Source organism: Homo sapiens, chromosome 6 (assembly GCF_000001405.40).
Source record: "Homo sapiens chromosome 6, GRCh38.p14 Primary Assembly".
NCBI classification, from domain to species: Eukaryota; Metazoa; Chordata; class Mammalia; order Primates; family Hominidae; genus Homo; species Homo sapiens.
This window is the reverse complement of record NC_000006.12, coordinates 104,463,858-104,479,591: the sequence shown is the minus strand read 5'-3', so window position 1 is coordinate 104,479,591 and position 15,734 is coordinate 104,463,858. Positions and strand designations below refer to the sequence as shown.

Here is a 15,734-nt window from a genome sequence, read left to right as displayed (position 1 = left end):
TAAAACACACATATTGAATACTTAGACTATTTAGGGTTAAAGGTGCATCATATCTGCAACTTACTCTCAAGTATTTCAGAAAATTTAATACACACAGAATATGGCAAATATAAAATGTTGAGATTTGGAGAATCTGTGGAGGATTTATGGGAATACGTTGTGCTATTTTTTTTTACAGCTTTCTTGGAAGTCTCAAATTATTTTGGAATAAAAAGGTAAAAAACAAGCTATCATACTACATTTCTTTCTAGGACTACAGTCAAGTACCACCACATCTGGATAATTATCATTTTTCTTTTTCGTGGAGATGGAGCTTTGCTGTGTCTCAAACTCAAGCTTACCCAGGATGGTCTCAAACTCCTGGTCTCAACTCATCCTCTGCCTCAGCCGCCCAAAGTGCTGGGATTGCAGGTGTGAGCCACAGTGCCCAGCCTTACTTCACTGTTTGCCAGCAGTTTACTGTTTTGAAAACTTTCTTCTGAGCCAGATTTCTCTATCTAACTTTGCATTTGCCACATACTACAGGCATCCTGTGATCACAGGATTCCAAACTAAATGTATCATGTTGTCTCTCCCCCTCCTCTCTACTCCTCACTTGCTAAACATGCTCTTCCCTCCTTTTGATTCTGGGGAATGACGTTGCAGTCCATCTATGTAGCTGGGTCAGGAACCATTTATCCTTCACTCTACCTCATATCAGTCATAATTCCTACAATTCTGTAAATGCCTGTCATCTGTTCTTTCATTTTTATTCCCATTTTTATATCTATTGATTTAATTTAAACTGTTTTATTTCCTTGCCTGGGTTACTTAACCATATTACAGATTTTAGACTCAGAGGGTCTTGACTTGGGCTTTGTAAAATCAGGTGAATCATTGTTATGGTCTGAATGTTTGTGATGTCCCCACACGTATATGTTAAAACCAAATCCCCTTGTGATGGTATGAGGAAGTGGGACATTTGGGAAGTGGTTGGTGCCCTTATAAAAAGAGCCGTGGAGTGACCTCTTGGCCATTCTGCCATGCAGGACACAGCAAGATGTCCATCTCTGAAACAGACAGTGGGTCTGTCCTCGGCTACTGCCTTGATCTTGGACTTTCTAGCCTCCAGAACCATGAGAAATAAATTTCTATCGTTTGTAAGTCACCAGATATAAAGTATTTTATATAGCAGCCTGAATGGACTAAGGCAGTCATCACATCCCTGAGTCTCAATTTCCTTATTTGCAAAATGAGCATCATAATATGCATATAAGGATATTTGTGAGCATCAGATGAGGAAAGGTACCAGGCAGATTTTGGTAGCTGTGGAGGATTATACGGATGCTAGTTGCTTTATTCTACTTTTCTAGAAGTTCACCTCTTATACTGGCTCTTTGCTTTTACAAAGCACACACTGCCAGGGTGTTCAGGAGAGAGTGAGTGCATATGGAGAGTAAGGGAGTGAGACTATTCTGCTGGATCCAGTAAAATGCCTTTCTCTGAGCACAGAGATCAACAAATGTGCTCATGTCTATCTCTTGGCATTAAGCAGTCAATAACCATGTGAACTATACTTTTACTTACAATAATATGTAGCATAAAACAGGACCTCCACAACTCCTTTCTTATATTTTACAGGAGTAGCTCTTCAGCTCCTCAGCTTTTTTCATTGGTTTACCAAGGAACAAATGTGCCTTGGTTGAGATTCAATAAAATCAATTAATTAGGCAACCCTTTTAAGCAACAATGGAAACAGGAGTCAGGAACTGTGTTAATGCCTTGTCTTGGGCAAGACAATGCTCAGCACTTGCTCCTGTACTAAAAGCACAGCCACACGGGTCATTATTGTGTTTGCTGAAAGACTGCCTGGTTATTTCACTGAATGGATGCTGCAGCTCTTGTGTCAGGTTTTATATAGCTAATTTAATTGTTGCCAATGGCAACAGCAGGGGGTCATGTCAGCGACTGATGCCATTTATACTGCTGAAGTAAAGTCTGTATCAGCATTTCCATTAGAAATCTGTTTAAAATAATACTGATTGAGCAAAGAAACAAAGGGAAAGAAAGAGGGTCGAAGAGTTTTGAAGATAATGTAGATGTGACCACTCCTGTTCATATGGATACAGATGGTACATAAGTTTGTTCATTCATTCATTCAACAACTATTTACTGAATACTTCTTAGTCCCAGTTACTATGCATGATATAAATGTTTAGCAAATAATAGTCCTAGATCTTCATGGAGCTTACAGTCTAGAGTGGAAGACAAATGATAAGTAAATAATACATAAATAAATAGGTAATTACTAATTGTGATTAAGAACTGTGAGAGAAATAAACAGCTGCTGAAAAAACTTTAACTGAATGGGGAGATGCAAGCAGTGAAACATCTCAGGTGGTGACGTCTAAACTGACTTGAAGGGTGAAAAGCAGTTGTGAATGGTAGGCAAGTTTGAGTCAGAGACCTGCGCATTTGAAGTTCCCAAGACTAGGAGGGGATTTGGAGTGTCAAGAGACACAGCAAGCTGACTTGCTTGGCAGCATTGGTCATTCACTTCGGTCATCATGAATTTATAGTGATGCGAACATGTCCAGCTTTACTGTTTCCTCTAGCATCATTTAGCTACACAGGTAAAGGTATGGACAAGACAGACAAGGTCAGGTTCATTCAGATTAAAATGAATTTTTCTTAGGTGAGTGTGATGGTGAAGGGAGAGGCAGGGATTTGGGGGAAGTGCAAGGGAGGGCAAAGGAATAATTTAATGAATCAACCTTATGATCTAAAATGAAGGATGGAAGTACAGACAGGAGGACTTGTAAAGACTAAGGAGCAGGGGAAATAAACTGATGGTCTGTGGCTGGAGAGGTAAAGACAACATTTAAGCAATGACTGTGAGAATGCTGAGGCATTTTTGGTGATGAGAAGTCAAGAATACAGTAGGGGTTTAAAGTAAAGACCTTCTACTTAGATTAGGTGTTGTAGTGTCCTTAGAAGTCTGCCTATGGGCAGGGTGCAGTGGCTCATGGCTATAATCCCAGCGCTTTGGGAGGCTAAGGTGGGAGGATCACTTGAGCCCAGGAGTTCAAGGCCATGCTGGACAATATAGCAAGAACTTGTCTTAAAAAAAAAAAACAACACACACCCACACACAAATTAGCCAGGTGTGGTAGTGCATGCCTATAGACCCAGCTACTCAGGAGGCTGAGGTGGGAGGATTGCTTGAGCCCAGGAGGTTGAGGCTGCAGTGAGCCATGATCCATGATTGTGCCACTGCACTCTAGACTGGGTGACAGAGCGAGACCCTGTCTCAAAAAAAAAAAAAAAAAAAGAAGTTTGCTTATATTGGCAGTTTTATGTCCTCTAGGTTTTTCTTAACTATCCCATGTTCCCTAATATTTTACTGTTGGGGCTACTGGTCACCCCTCATTCCCCATTCCATATGAATCTGTCCTTTCTTGCCCTAAAATCCTCTTGGAAAAATCCATTCTCATTAAAATTTACTTGTTTATTTGCCCCATTCCCTGGATCCCTACCAGCTGATATGTTAGTTAACAAGAGAAACAAATTCAGTTAAATATTAATTTGGGATGATAGTTTAATATGTTATTCCAGATAACACATTTGCATTTTAGCAGAGGCTTTTAATAACAAATAGAAAAGAACATCTAATGTAGAAATTTAAGCCAGAGAGAGAAATATTTTGGTGCAGAACATTTTTTTCTCTCACTGTCAAATCCTGGGGATCATCACTTAATTTACTTATATGTAGGGTCAAACCTGAAGACCAGATATAAAAGTTATTGTTTTAAAGCTGTAACAAAATTGGAAACATACTAGAAACTTAATCCCATTCTGACTTTTCATGGTAAGGAAAGTAAGCCTTGAAAACAAAATGAGTTCTTCACCTAGTTAATAACGCGGGTGGACAGCTTCTTAAACCCCAGTGTATACCACACAGTATACACTGCACTTCTTCTTATCTGCTAGAGACATTCAAATTCAACCTTCTCCAGTAGGTAAAAGAAGGTCTTATTATAAAAGATATTCTGAGATGGAGACCCTACAATTTTCTCAAATACCCTGTCCAGTGTTTACTAACCTTTAATGTCTGGAAATTATCCATTTCAATTCAGCAAAGTGTAGTGGAAAGAACAGTGGGTTTGGGATAAGATGTGGGTTGTGATCATAGTTGTGGAAGGCAGCCTCTAAGATGGTCCCCATTCCCCCACCTCCTCATACTCATGCCTGTGTGTAATCCCTTCCCATTGAGTGTGGGCTGGACCTCGTGATTTGTTTCCAATGAAGAGAATATGGATAAAGTACAGGAATGTTATTTACAATATTGGGTTCTGTAAAGACTGTGGTTCCCATCTTGAGAATTCTCTTTGCCCTCTCTTGGATTGCTTCCTCTAGGGGAAGCCAGCTGCCATTTTGTGAGGCAGCATGTAGAGAGATCCATGTGGGGAGGAATCAAGGTCTGCCCACAACCCCAGGAATGAGTTTGGAAGTGGATTTCTCCTCTCTTCTCCATCCCTCACTTGCCCAAAGGGTTGAGCCTTCAAGTGAAGTTGCAGCCCTGGCTGACAACTTAGCTGGAACTGCAACCTCATGAGACACCTTGAGCCAGAGGTACCAAGTCAAGTTGTGCCCCTATTCCCAACCCACAGACACAGTGAGATAACAAATGTTTATTGTTTTAAGCTGGTTTGGTAGCATACTTTTGTGTTAGTCCTAGCCTTTCTGTGCCACAGTTTCTTCACTTGTATGTGTTTGACAGTTGAACCAGATGATTTTATTTCTGAATAACAAGGGAATTTATTGATGCATAAGTGGAATGTCTAGAGGTAGAAAGGGAGGTTTGACCCAGCAGCTTAAAGATGTCACCAAAACATGTATTTTCCCCAGTTCTGAATTAGATGATCTTTGAGGTGACTTATCTATACACAATTACCTAAATTCCTCATGTGTTATTGTAAGCCAATTCTACTAATTCTATCTTCAATAATGATGAAGAATATTCAGCCACAGTTCTTCCAAAAATAACTCTTTATTAAATAATATGAAATTTTAAAGATTTGGTTTTATCTTATTATTCTCCAGTGCTAAATTTACTTATTTCTTTAAACCATAGTATTACATTCAAATGCTGTGTCACATAAATCTTATTACACATAAAATTCTGCAAGAAAAAAACACATAGATGCATTTTTGTCCATATGATGTGACAATGGTTTTACAAAGCTTTTATTTCAAAGATATAAACATCTTGATTGGTTCTTAATTTGACAAAACAATCTCAGAGATTCAGACTATTGACCCTAGATAAGTTGAGCCCCCTGAAGATGATTTCAGAAGTTTGTTTTCAGTATCTATTTGGACAAAGTGAGTGTGACATGGAGATGACCATGTTCTCAGAAAAGATTTCCCCTAAACATGCAGCAGAGGTCTTCCTTCTGGACACCCATTAGGTGGCCAATATTTTCTCAATTCATTGATCCAGATCCCAGCATATGTTTTCCAAACAGAACAGAAAGTACTCTGTTGGCATGCTGGAGGAATGAAGCCAATTAGTCCTCAGAAAATCCTGGACTCTATTCTGTCATGGTAGTTCTATACAGCAACTCATTAAAAATAATACGAGTGCTATGTAAAATCTTCTCTGGGTATTGATTTCTACTTCTCAATATGTTGTATTTGAGCCAGAGCCCTTATTTTTTCCACATTACGGGCTATCGCTTCATCCGTGAAGCCAAAGAAATGTGTTTATTTGGTTTGGTTTGGGGTGTGTGTGTGTGTGTGTGTGTGTCTATTTGTGTGGCATGGTGGATAATTTTCAAAGGAATGATTGTGGTGTCTCATATTAACTTTGTCATTTCTTTGTGTTATTAAACTACAGAAGTTAGCCAGAGACAGAAACCACATTACAGACAAATGTTTGTAATCCTTAATACCAAAATGATCTCAAAATAGGTATTTAGAAGCTAAAAAAATGCAAATACAGTCTGTTCTAAGCAGCATATATGCTATTCTTTATTTTCTGTCTTGTAAATTATCCTCCTCTTCCATTTTTCTGAAACTTGTTAAAGATGCTGGGCCTTAGCCACTAAGGTCCCAAATCTCTTCAGTTATCCAAGAATCTGATGCTGGCTAATCAGTGATAGGGAGTGCCCGCAGTGCCCCCAGGCCTCTTCCCACTCCCTGCTGTCTCCACCACACTTCCAATGAGAGCTCAGGTCTCATTTGTCCTTGACAGAGGCCATGGACTGAAAATGCTAACTGTGCACTGTGATGGCTCAGTTAGTGATGAGGTCACCTGTGGCTCAAGGCTCAGGGAAGACCCCCGACGGCTTTCAGCTAGGTCGGTGACCAGCTGTCAGTGGGAAGAGTCCCCTGTCAGTGCCAGGTTGGGGGAGACTCGGAGCTCTGACCTGGAGGGGAAAAGGTAGAGCTTCTCAAGACTTGCCCTATTTGCATCCTAATGATAGAGAGTGAGGTGACTTTGGGAGGCAGCCCCTGTCTTCAGACCTCCCACAAAGAAGCAGATGCATTTAAGGGGAGGAGAACTGGGGGAAAGACAGAGCTCTCTTCCTTTGTTGATTCACTGCCCGATGCTAATGCTACTTTAAAGGCAGAAGCTTTCCTTTATTAGGAAATGTACTGTAGACTAGGGCTTAATATTGCTTTTCGTTGATTTCTTTTTTTTAAACTTGATCTCATGAATCCTTCAGCCTGATGTTAGGTAATTTGGAAATAAGAAAATAAACAACTTAGGTTTTTTTGCAGAGATAGAAAGTGGCTTTTAATCCTCTAATGTTTTCTTCAGTCATCACCAAGCTTTAGTGAAGAGAACAGCCTGAAAAACAGAAAGCTCTGCAATGATTCGGCAGTGTGTGCTGGAGAGACAGTGCCTGAGAGCATCATAAACACGAGGGGAGAGGCGCTCCATAAATATGCGGGTAGTTATTTATTACAAAATAAATTATGTATTGACATGAGGAATTACACCATAATTTTCTGTTTGAGATGGTACCAAACTAAATTGGTTTCTATCTAAAAGGTCACATGGAATGCTGGCTTTGTGTTCCTGTCATGACATTTGCCTTATTGGCATTCAGGTGCATTCCCTCTGCTTCATGCAATCACTGTCTCCTTTCACTGTGTTTACAGATAATCCAGCAACTTTGCAGGCCAAATGGCGTTCTGAATATGAGCCCACAAAGCATTGAATCAGACAGCCTCCTGCTTAGAGAGTTTTCAGCACAGTTCAGCCATAAGGCAAACATCAATAATTGCTTTAGAAGGGAAAGTGACAGGCAATTGTTCATAATTTGCCATCACAATAATTAAGAGTGGCTAGGACTATTGCAACCACTATTTAATTTCCCCTTCTTTAAAATTAACTCTGTTATTGTCACCAACTGCTCTGTGGTGAGGCCCATTAACACTGTTTGTCTGAGGGCTTCTATTCCTAGGAACAAATCATTCGCTCACCTTCATGTCAAAACAACGATGCGTTTTGATCCAAGCTATTTTACATTTACGCATTTACAGTAAGGACTTGCATAAGCTTTAAAAGAATAGCCCAATTGCTAAGCTGTGGTTGAGTGCGGCTCTGCAGCCTTCTCGTGAAACATACTGTACTGTATATAGTTTAGAACAAATAGCCAGAAGCCTTAAAGCCAGGGGGAAAAAAGGAAAATAAACAGTGTTTTAACCATTGTTCAGTGGTTTTCATGCCTGATTTGGTAGGTAAAGGTTATCAAAAGTCAGTTCAAGTGTGCTTAGAAAGCACAATGACATCTCTCAACTCCCTTGGCAGGCATCTCATGAAGGGGAGCAGGTTATAGGAGGCCAAAATTAGAAACCCCATCTTTGGTAAATGAACTGATTAGTGTCATCCTGTGTCTTTGCTGCCCACAGCAAGAATGGCTGAAGTTTTTGTCCTGGGTGTCATACTTAAAGTACTATCTGAGGACTCCCAAATCACGCTGCTGTCTGCACTCCTCTCAGGGCTCAGAATGTCCTGCCTCTTATTGCACAAATTTGTGTGTCAACCTCACCTCTTTTACCGAGCTTTAAGTCCTTAGAGGTCAGAATTTTGGATGCTCACAGTCCCCTGCATGTAGCAGAAAATAGTTGCTGAATAAATATTTGTTGATTGAATGGATGGATAATTGACACTGCTCACACAGGAGTCAGGGGAAAAAAATCTCTCCACCATAGGTCCAGTGGGCTATTATAATCTGTCCCAACTCATAAAGACACTGGCTACAGGATTGCAAATTAGATTCTACTAAAAGGAAAAGGAAGCACATTACTCTTAAATGAAAGTTTTGCTAAATTCCTCATTCATTAATTCAACATAATTTGTTGAATTCTTAGCATCTGCTAGGCATCATTTCAGGCTCTTGAGATTTGTGAATGGTCATTACGATTCATACAGTTGTGGAGCTTACATTCTAGTTCAAGCAGTCAGATAATAATAAGCATAATAAGTAATTTGAGTAGTGTGCTGGAATGGGACACATGCAATAAAAACAATGAAGCAGAAGAAATGAGATTGGGGTACTAGGGGTAGAATTTGGGTACAGATAGGCCTCAATATTATTTTATTTATTTCTTATTTTAGAGGCAAGGTCTTGCTCTGTCACCCAGGCTGGAGTGCAGTGGCACCATCATAGCTCACTGCAGCCTTGATCTCCTGGGCTCAAGCAATCCTCCCACTTCAGCCTCCCAAGCAGCTGGGACTACAGGTGTGTGCCACTATGCCCTGCTAATTTTAATTTTCTTTTATAGAGACGGGATCTCGCTACATTGCCCAGGCTGGTCTTGAACTCCTGGCTGCCAGTGATTCTTCTGCCTTGCCTTCCCAAGGTGCTGGGATTACAGGCCTGAGCCACCACTTTGCATGGCTGGTTTCATTTTTAAATAATGTCAGCAGGGTAGGCCTCATTGAGATGACAGCATTTGGGAAAAGACTTGAAGTCAGTGTGGAAGTTGCCATGTGGCTGTGAGAAGGGCATTCAAGGCATGGAACTGCCTGAGCAAAGGACCTAGGTTGGGAGCATGCCGAAGTGTCCCAGTAACTGCCAGGAGGACACCTGGATTGAGGCAAATAATGGGAGTGTAGCAGGAACCAAAGTCAGACAGGTAGTGGAGTGGCTGATTCAGGGTTTGGCAGACAATCATAAGGCCTTTGACTTAAGCTGAGTGAGAGAGTTAATTTAATTCACTCCCTCCTTTGTACTTGGAACTCCCATAACACATTTATACCTATCCAGCAGGTCTTCAAATAATGTCGTTTTGTTTAATGTTGTTTCATTAAAATGTTGAGAGAAAACAATCAATTTCCGGCCAGGAACATGGTCTGTGTGCAGTTTGCACATTCTCCCCACGTCTGTGTGGGTTTTCTCCGGGTCCTCTGGTTTCCTCCCATATCCCAAAGCTTTGCATCTTTGGTTAATTCGTGTGTCTACATGGTGCCAGTCTGGGTGAGAGTGTGTGTGTGTGTGTGTAGTTGTGCCCTGCAATGGGATGGCATCCTTTCCAGTGTGGGTTCCTGCCTGGCACCCTGAGCTGCCAGAATAGGCTCTGGCTACCCACAATGCAAACTGGAATAATTAGATAAATAATTATTTTACTTGTTTTTATTAGTCTTTTAAAAATGTATGTATAGCTCACATTTATGTCCATGTTTGATATTAGAAGTGTTTTTGATCTTTATTTGGAAGTTTGATGATATTTGTGGGACCAGAAATAATGCCATAGGAACTTAATTCTTGTTTATATCTATTAGTCTATTGGTAAATTGGTTTTGTTATACACCATTTTGCTTAAAGTTGCAGTTTCCAAGAACCTATTCACAATGTTAGGTGAGGACCTACTGTATTTATTTCAGCAAGCAACACATCACATTTCCCCTGTTAGGCTCTTAGGTTCTCAATGTTATTTTCTAATATTGTTCTTCTCTGGCCCAGAGAATGAATGCACATTATAAACATTCCATTACTGTTTGTTGAATTGAAATATAACACAAGTCACAGTAGCAGGAATCACACAATGTTGTAAAATAAACATACCCCAAGTCACAGGTAGTTTAGGAGGCAAATGAGTTGATTTAAGAATGTGCTGCATACTTGAGCCATAGGCTAATATTTTTCTTCTGAAATTCACTGTTGCTTTTGTTTCGTGCAGTTTCCTCACCACCCTCTGTTGGCTGCTCCTACAGTCAACTGCAGTGCTGACGTTGACACTACCCTTCTCTCTAGGGTAGCTTTGGTGATTAAGCTACTGGTCTCATGAGCTAGGCCTCTTGATCACAACCACGGATGCACGTTGTAGTCACAGGACAGCATCTGTAAAATCTTAGTGCCTTGGCCTCCTCATAGAGCAGTTGAACCAGAAGTTCCGAAGGTGAGACTCAGGCATAAGTATATTTTAAAAATTCCTCAGGTCATTATCATGTCAAGCCAGGGTAGAGAATCATTGATCTAAGGCTGTTCTAAGACTTTCAGAGGTGGGCCAAGCTTTCCATGAAAATTTGAACTACAACAAAGAAAATATGGAAAATTTCCACCCAAATCTGTTGATTCCTGTCTGTGACTCAGCTTTTGTATCGTGGTGGCAGCTCAAGGGTGTCTTGTTATGTTTATATAGGTGCATGTGTGTTGGTGAAAGGAGAGAGGTTTGAAGGTTACCTGTTTTCCAGGATAGCAATGTGTTTGTAAATCAGCCCACCTGCAATACATATGCTGAATCAGGAGCCAGTTCCTAGGTTTTCTCAGACAGGAACACACAGCTGGCTGGTCCAGTCAAGGTGAACATCCATTCCGGGAAGCAGTTGTACTGGCCATGTATCCCCATGGATGAATGAAACTACCTTTCATCCCAACTGGGTGCTCCCCATAGGTTGAGGACTCCTCCTTCATGGTTTAACACATTCAAGTCTTGCAGTTGGGAAGGCATGCTTATGGCCCCCATTGGGCAACCCGTGCATTGTCCGATCGCCTAGGGCTTAGGTGTAAAGTGCCGGCTTCTCCAGTGTAGCTGATCCTCAGCAGCCCTGTGATCCTGCTTTCCTTTAACCTAGGTGTGAGCGCTGGTGGTCTTCGTTGCCAGCCTTGGTCATGTATACATTTTCTCCTCACAAAATTGTAAAGCAAGTCTTTCAACATATTGGGGAATAGATCTTGCTTTTTAAATATACTCATTGTCTACACAATTCTCAGGGCCAGAATAAGACAAGCCCTGTAAGGCTTTCTGAATGTGTGATGAATTTAATGATGTCACATCTTCATTTCCCCTTTATTTGTTTTTTACTGAATACTTCTGGAGTATCTACTGTGTACTATACTACATCCTGGGAGCACAAGCTGAGTAAGACTCTATTCCTTCAGCTCACATTCTAGACAAGCAAATGGACACATACACAGATAATCAGCACACAATACAGGAGCTTACCAGGCATGGAGAGATGAGAAGTAGACGGAGGGCCTTTCAAGCCTATGAACACCATGAATTCAAAGTCAGGGAGTTAGGAAAATGCATCAGGGTTTGGAGAGCAAATGTATTTTTGAAATAGAGGAAGTAGAGGGGATGGTGGTGGAGGTGAGGCTGGAAGCATAGGTTGGGATTATAGTATAAAACATCTTTGTGACACGTTAGAGAATTTGAATTTGATTCTGAGAAGCTAAGGTGGGGTAAATGAAAAAAAAGAAATACTTGAACTTTGTGGTTAGAAAAACCTGATAGAATTCTAGCTCTGCCACTTACTCATTATATAATATTGTGCTAATGATTAGAACTAGCACAGTCTCTGTTCATTGTCTGTAAAAATAAACATAACACCTAGCTTGCAGGGTTAGTATGAGGGCTACATGAGACAGTGCTCATGACAGTACAGACAGCTGCATGGTAGGTTTTAGAGCTATGTCATCTAACACAAGAGTCACTAGTCACATGTGGCTTCCTAAATTAATTAAAATTAAATAAAATTTAAAGAGTGGCTTTCTGGTATGTGCTAGCTACATTTCAAGTGCACAATAGCCATATGTAGCTAGTGGCTGTCATACTTGAAAGCCCTGATAGGGAACATTGACATCACAGAGAATTCTATTAAACAACACTGCTCTAGAAGGATGTTTCCTTGTCTTCCTGAAAGCATCAGCATCTTAACTGATGTAGTTAATCTGTTGATAGTATGTGCTATGTTGTATTATATTAAAAAGTTATTCTTTAAAATAATACTTGGAAATGGGCTCAGATCAAAACTGAGTTTCCCTCTGAGATGTCAGTCAAGAGCTCGTATACAGCTCTGTGCTGTCATGCACATGCCACCCTCAGCTCTCTCTTGAGGCCATGCTGCCTACCCTGGCTCCCTGACTCTAGGGTTGGAATTATACTTGGTTTTATTGGACATGGCTGGAAAACTGCTCCAGACCTGAGACACACATGTTTCCCCGGATAACTTACCCTGGGATGTGACCTGTATTCGCTATGAGATTGCCTGTAGGAGTGACTCATGCCATTTCAAATAACAGCTTAATTCATCCTGTTCCCTTTACTAAGGTTTTGTAACCCAGAACATCAGGGATGATGGCCATTTCTGGTGACAGGTAGACACCTGTACTGAATTTTCAATTCAATTCAACTTAGATCACTTTCCCAGAAAGAGTATATTAACTTCCAGTTTCTACTTAACTTGAGTTTTGCTCAGGGAGTTATAGCTGAACTTATAAGTACAGGTTCTTTTACTATGAAACAGTTATTTTCAAGATTAAAAAATTTAGGGGGACTGTTTGGAGGATTGAAGGTGTAAAACTTGGTTGGTAAATTAAAATAAATAAGTAAATAAAGGTTTCCTTAATCACCTTGGAGAAAAAGAAGGGTTCTTGCTGACAATTGTATCATGGTACTACATTGCTATGTAATTTATTTTGTACATATAATTGACTTTTACTTTGGAAGCAAGAAAGCCACATGGAAATGTTAAAAAGAAGCCAAGTGAGAGATCAGCTGAGAGAAATTAAATCCATCAATATGCAAATATAATAAAGGGAAGGGAAACTGGCATTTATTGAGGGGTATATGCAAATGTAGTAAGTTGCCAGAAGGGAAGTTCTTTGCATTCTGCAGTGACTTGGGGGAATTTTGAAGAATTGGCAGAGCTTTAACTGGCTATGAAAAGTAGTTGGAATGAAGGCAAAAAGTGGGGAGGGATTTTAGATGGAGAAGAGGTACAAAGTTGTAGAGATGGAAATGCACCTATCCTCTTTAATGGGAAGTGAATAGGCCATTGAACACAAACTGCAGTATGTGGATGAGAAATAATTGGAAAGTAAGTTTAGATGCTCAGCCTAGACTAGGTAAGAAGGGGCAGACCTTGAATAATACAGTAATCATTAAACATAAATTTGTTTATTGCATACTTTGGGTCAGGCAATGAGCTAAAACATTTTTTGACATACATTATTGAATTTAATCTTGACAACAATCCAGTGAAGTACGTATTATCAATCACATTTTACAGATGAGGCAACTTAAATTTAGAGAGGTTAAATAGTCTTCCCAAGGCTAAAGTTTTGGGAGACAATTCTTCCTGGGTTTCTTGCATTTCTGTACATCTTGACAGCAGGGCCACTGACTGCATTTGTTCTGGACCACATTTTTCATGGATATTTGCATAGAAAATAGCTTTGAAAGATAGAGATCATGTCTCCTTCTGAAGCAAAAGGCAGGTTTATTTATAGTTTGGCATCATGAGATAATGTGTCCATCTAGAGCCAAGTATGAGCAGGCTTACTGTCCATTATAAAAGATTCAGTTTGCCTGAATACAGGGTTCCTCTCCTATAGTGTTACCTACTGTATGTGTGTATAGGAGTCACCTGACCCTTTTACATTGCCCTGTGGAAACTGAGGCTTGGGGAAGTGGTGTGAGTGGTCACACTTCAGGTACTTACTGCTATTGCTATAAGTAACAAAATACTTTGTCTCTGACCTAGGAGTTTTGTATCTTCTAGTATTTATGAAACTGTGGCAAACCAACTTGTTAACTTGCAAATAGGCTAATTTCTCAGACCATTCATAGTTCTTAACTTAAATGGTGAAACAACCTTAAAACGCTTCAGAAATCAACTATTAGGTGACAAGGGCCTGTACTAGAATGGTTTGAAAGGAACAAAATTGATGCTAGAAGTACAAAGGAAGAAATAGAAAGGACAAAACAAGGTTTGGACAGAATATTTTGGGATGGAGTGTTGGGTAAGAAGTGGTCAGAAATTATAAGGTTAAAGGAGATATGAAAATTCTGAGCTTGAGAGATGAATACGGAAATTAATAAACTGGTTCTTGGAAGAATGGGTGGCAGCTTGTTTTGTGCTTTTAGAATTTTACTTCTCTGAAGTTAAAAACTGGATATTTAAAAATTCTCTGCATAGGATTTTAACAGAGAAAACATGCATAAAATATATCAACTAGATCTCCCCTTTCCTCACTTATTCTCAAATCTGTGAGTTAGAGCTGTTGAGAGGACCTGGAAAGTAGCTGCTTATGGTTGGCATCTGTGTGTGTGTGAGGTTGCAGAGGGGAAGAGAAGAGAGTGGTTGGGGCAATGGCCCAGGTGCTTTTGAGGCCATGTCAAGACATTCTCAGGCTGGCTGTAGGCTGTGTCTCACTCCTAAGGAGAGCGCTTGGCTCCTAAGCACTGTTTTTTTTGTGTGTTTTTTTTTTTTTTTTTTTTTGGCAAAAACACCACTGAAGCTATGCTGGGTGAATGCTTTACTTTTTAAATTTTTCTCTGTTTTTTTAATTTTAACAGCTTCTCACTCTTTTGCCCAGGCTGGGATACAGTGGCGCGATCTCGGCTCACTGCAACCACCACCTCCTGGGGTCAAGCAATCCTCCCACCTCAGCTTCCCAAGTAGCTGAGACTACAGGTGCATGCCATCATGTACAGCTAATTTTTGTATTGTTTTTGTAGAGACAGGGTTTCACCATGTTCCCAGGCTGGTCTTGAACTCCTGAGCTCAAGCAGTCCTCCTGCCTCAGCCTCTCAAAGTGCTGGGATACAGGCGTGAGCCACCGTACCTGGCCTGCTTTGTTTTCTTTTTTTTTTTTTTTTTTTTTTTGAGACGGAGTCTCGCTCTGTCGCCCAGGCCGGACTGCGGACTGCAGTGGCGCAATCTCGGCTCACTGCAAGCTCCGCTTCCCGGGTTCACGCCATTCTCCTGCCTCAGCCTCCCGAGTAGCTGGGACTACAGGCGCCCGCCACCGCGCCCGGCTAATTTTTTGTATTTTTAGTAGAGACGGGGTTTCACCTTGTTAGCCAGGATGGTCTCGATCTCCTGACCTCATGATCCACCCGCCTCGGCCTCCCAAAGTGCTGGGATTACAGGCGTGAGCCACCGCGCCCGGCCTTGTTTTCTTAACTGTGAACTTTTTTTTAAATAAAAAAACTTGGATGAACTTTTTTTTTTTTTTAAATGAAAGCACAAAATGTCATTTACTATTCCTTATAATGTCAACAATTTGGCTGGGCGCAGTGGCTCATGCCTATAATCCCAGCACTTTGGGAGGCTGAGGTGGTTGGATGACGAGGTCAGGAGATTGAGACCATCCTGGCTAACATGGTGAAACCCCGTCTCTACTAAAAATACAAAAACTTATCTAGGCGTGGTGGCACGCACCTTTAATCCCAGCTACTTGGGAGGCTGAAGCAGGAGAATTGCTTGAACCTGGGAGGCAGAAGTTACA

At 40.7% G+C, this 15,734-nt stretch overlaps 1 long non-coding RNA gene across 2 annotated transcripts in view, besides 1 other annotated feature; it reads left to right on the top strand.

Moving 5' to 3' along the window:
• Positions 1–15,734, top strand: part of LOC105377918 (uncharacterized) — a 64,633-nt gene that overhangs the window by 47,881 nt on the left and 1,018 nt on the right. The window contains exon 5 of one of the 2 annotated variants that reach the window (XR_001744273.2): positions 6,806–7,659. The exons of the other annotated variant lie outside the window; for it this stretch is intronic. This is a non-coding gene — a long non-coding RNA (uncharacterized LOC105377918). Of the gene's footprint in view, positions 1–6,805; positions 7,660–15,734 lie in introns of those variants that run through there. 2 annotated transcript variants of the gene reach the window in all.
• Positions 6,983–7,556: an enhancer, noted in NCBI's record as "NANOG-H3K27ac-H3K4me1 hESC enhancer chr6:104919911-104920484 (GRCh37/hg19 assembly coordinates)". NCBI's record gives its function as "activates a minimal SCP1, AML or CMV promoter by ChIP-STARR-seq in naive H9 embryonic stem cells {active_cell/tissue: H9 hESC(naive)}" and the evidence as "EXISTENCE:reporter gene assay evidence [ECO:0000049][PMID:30033119]".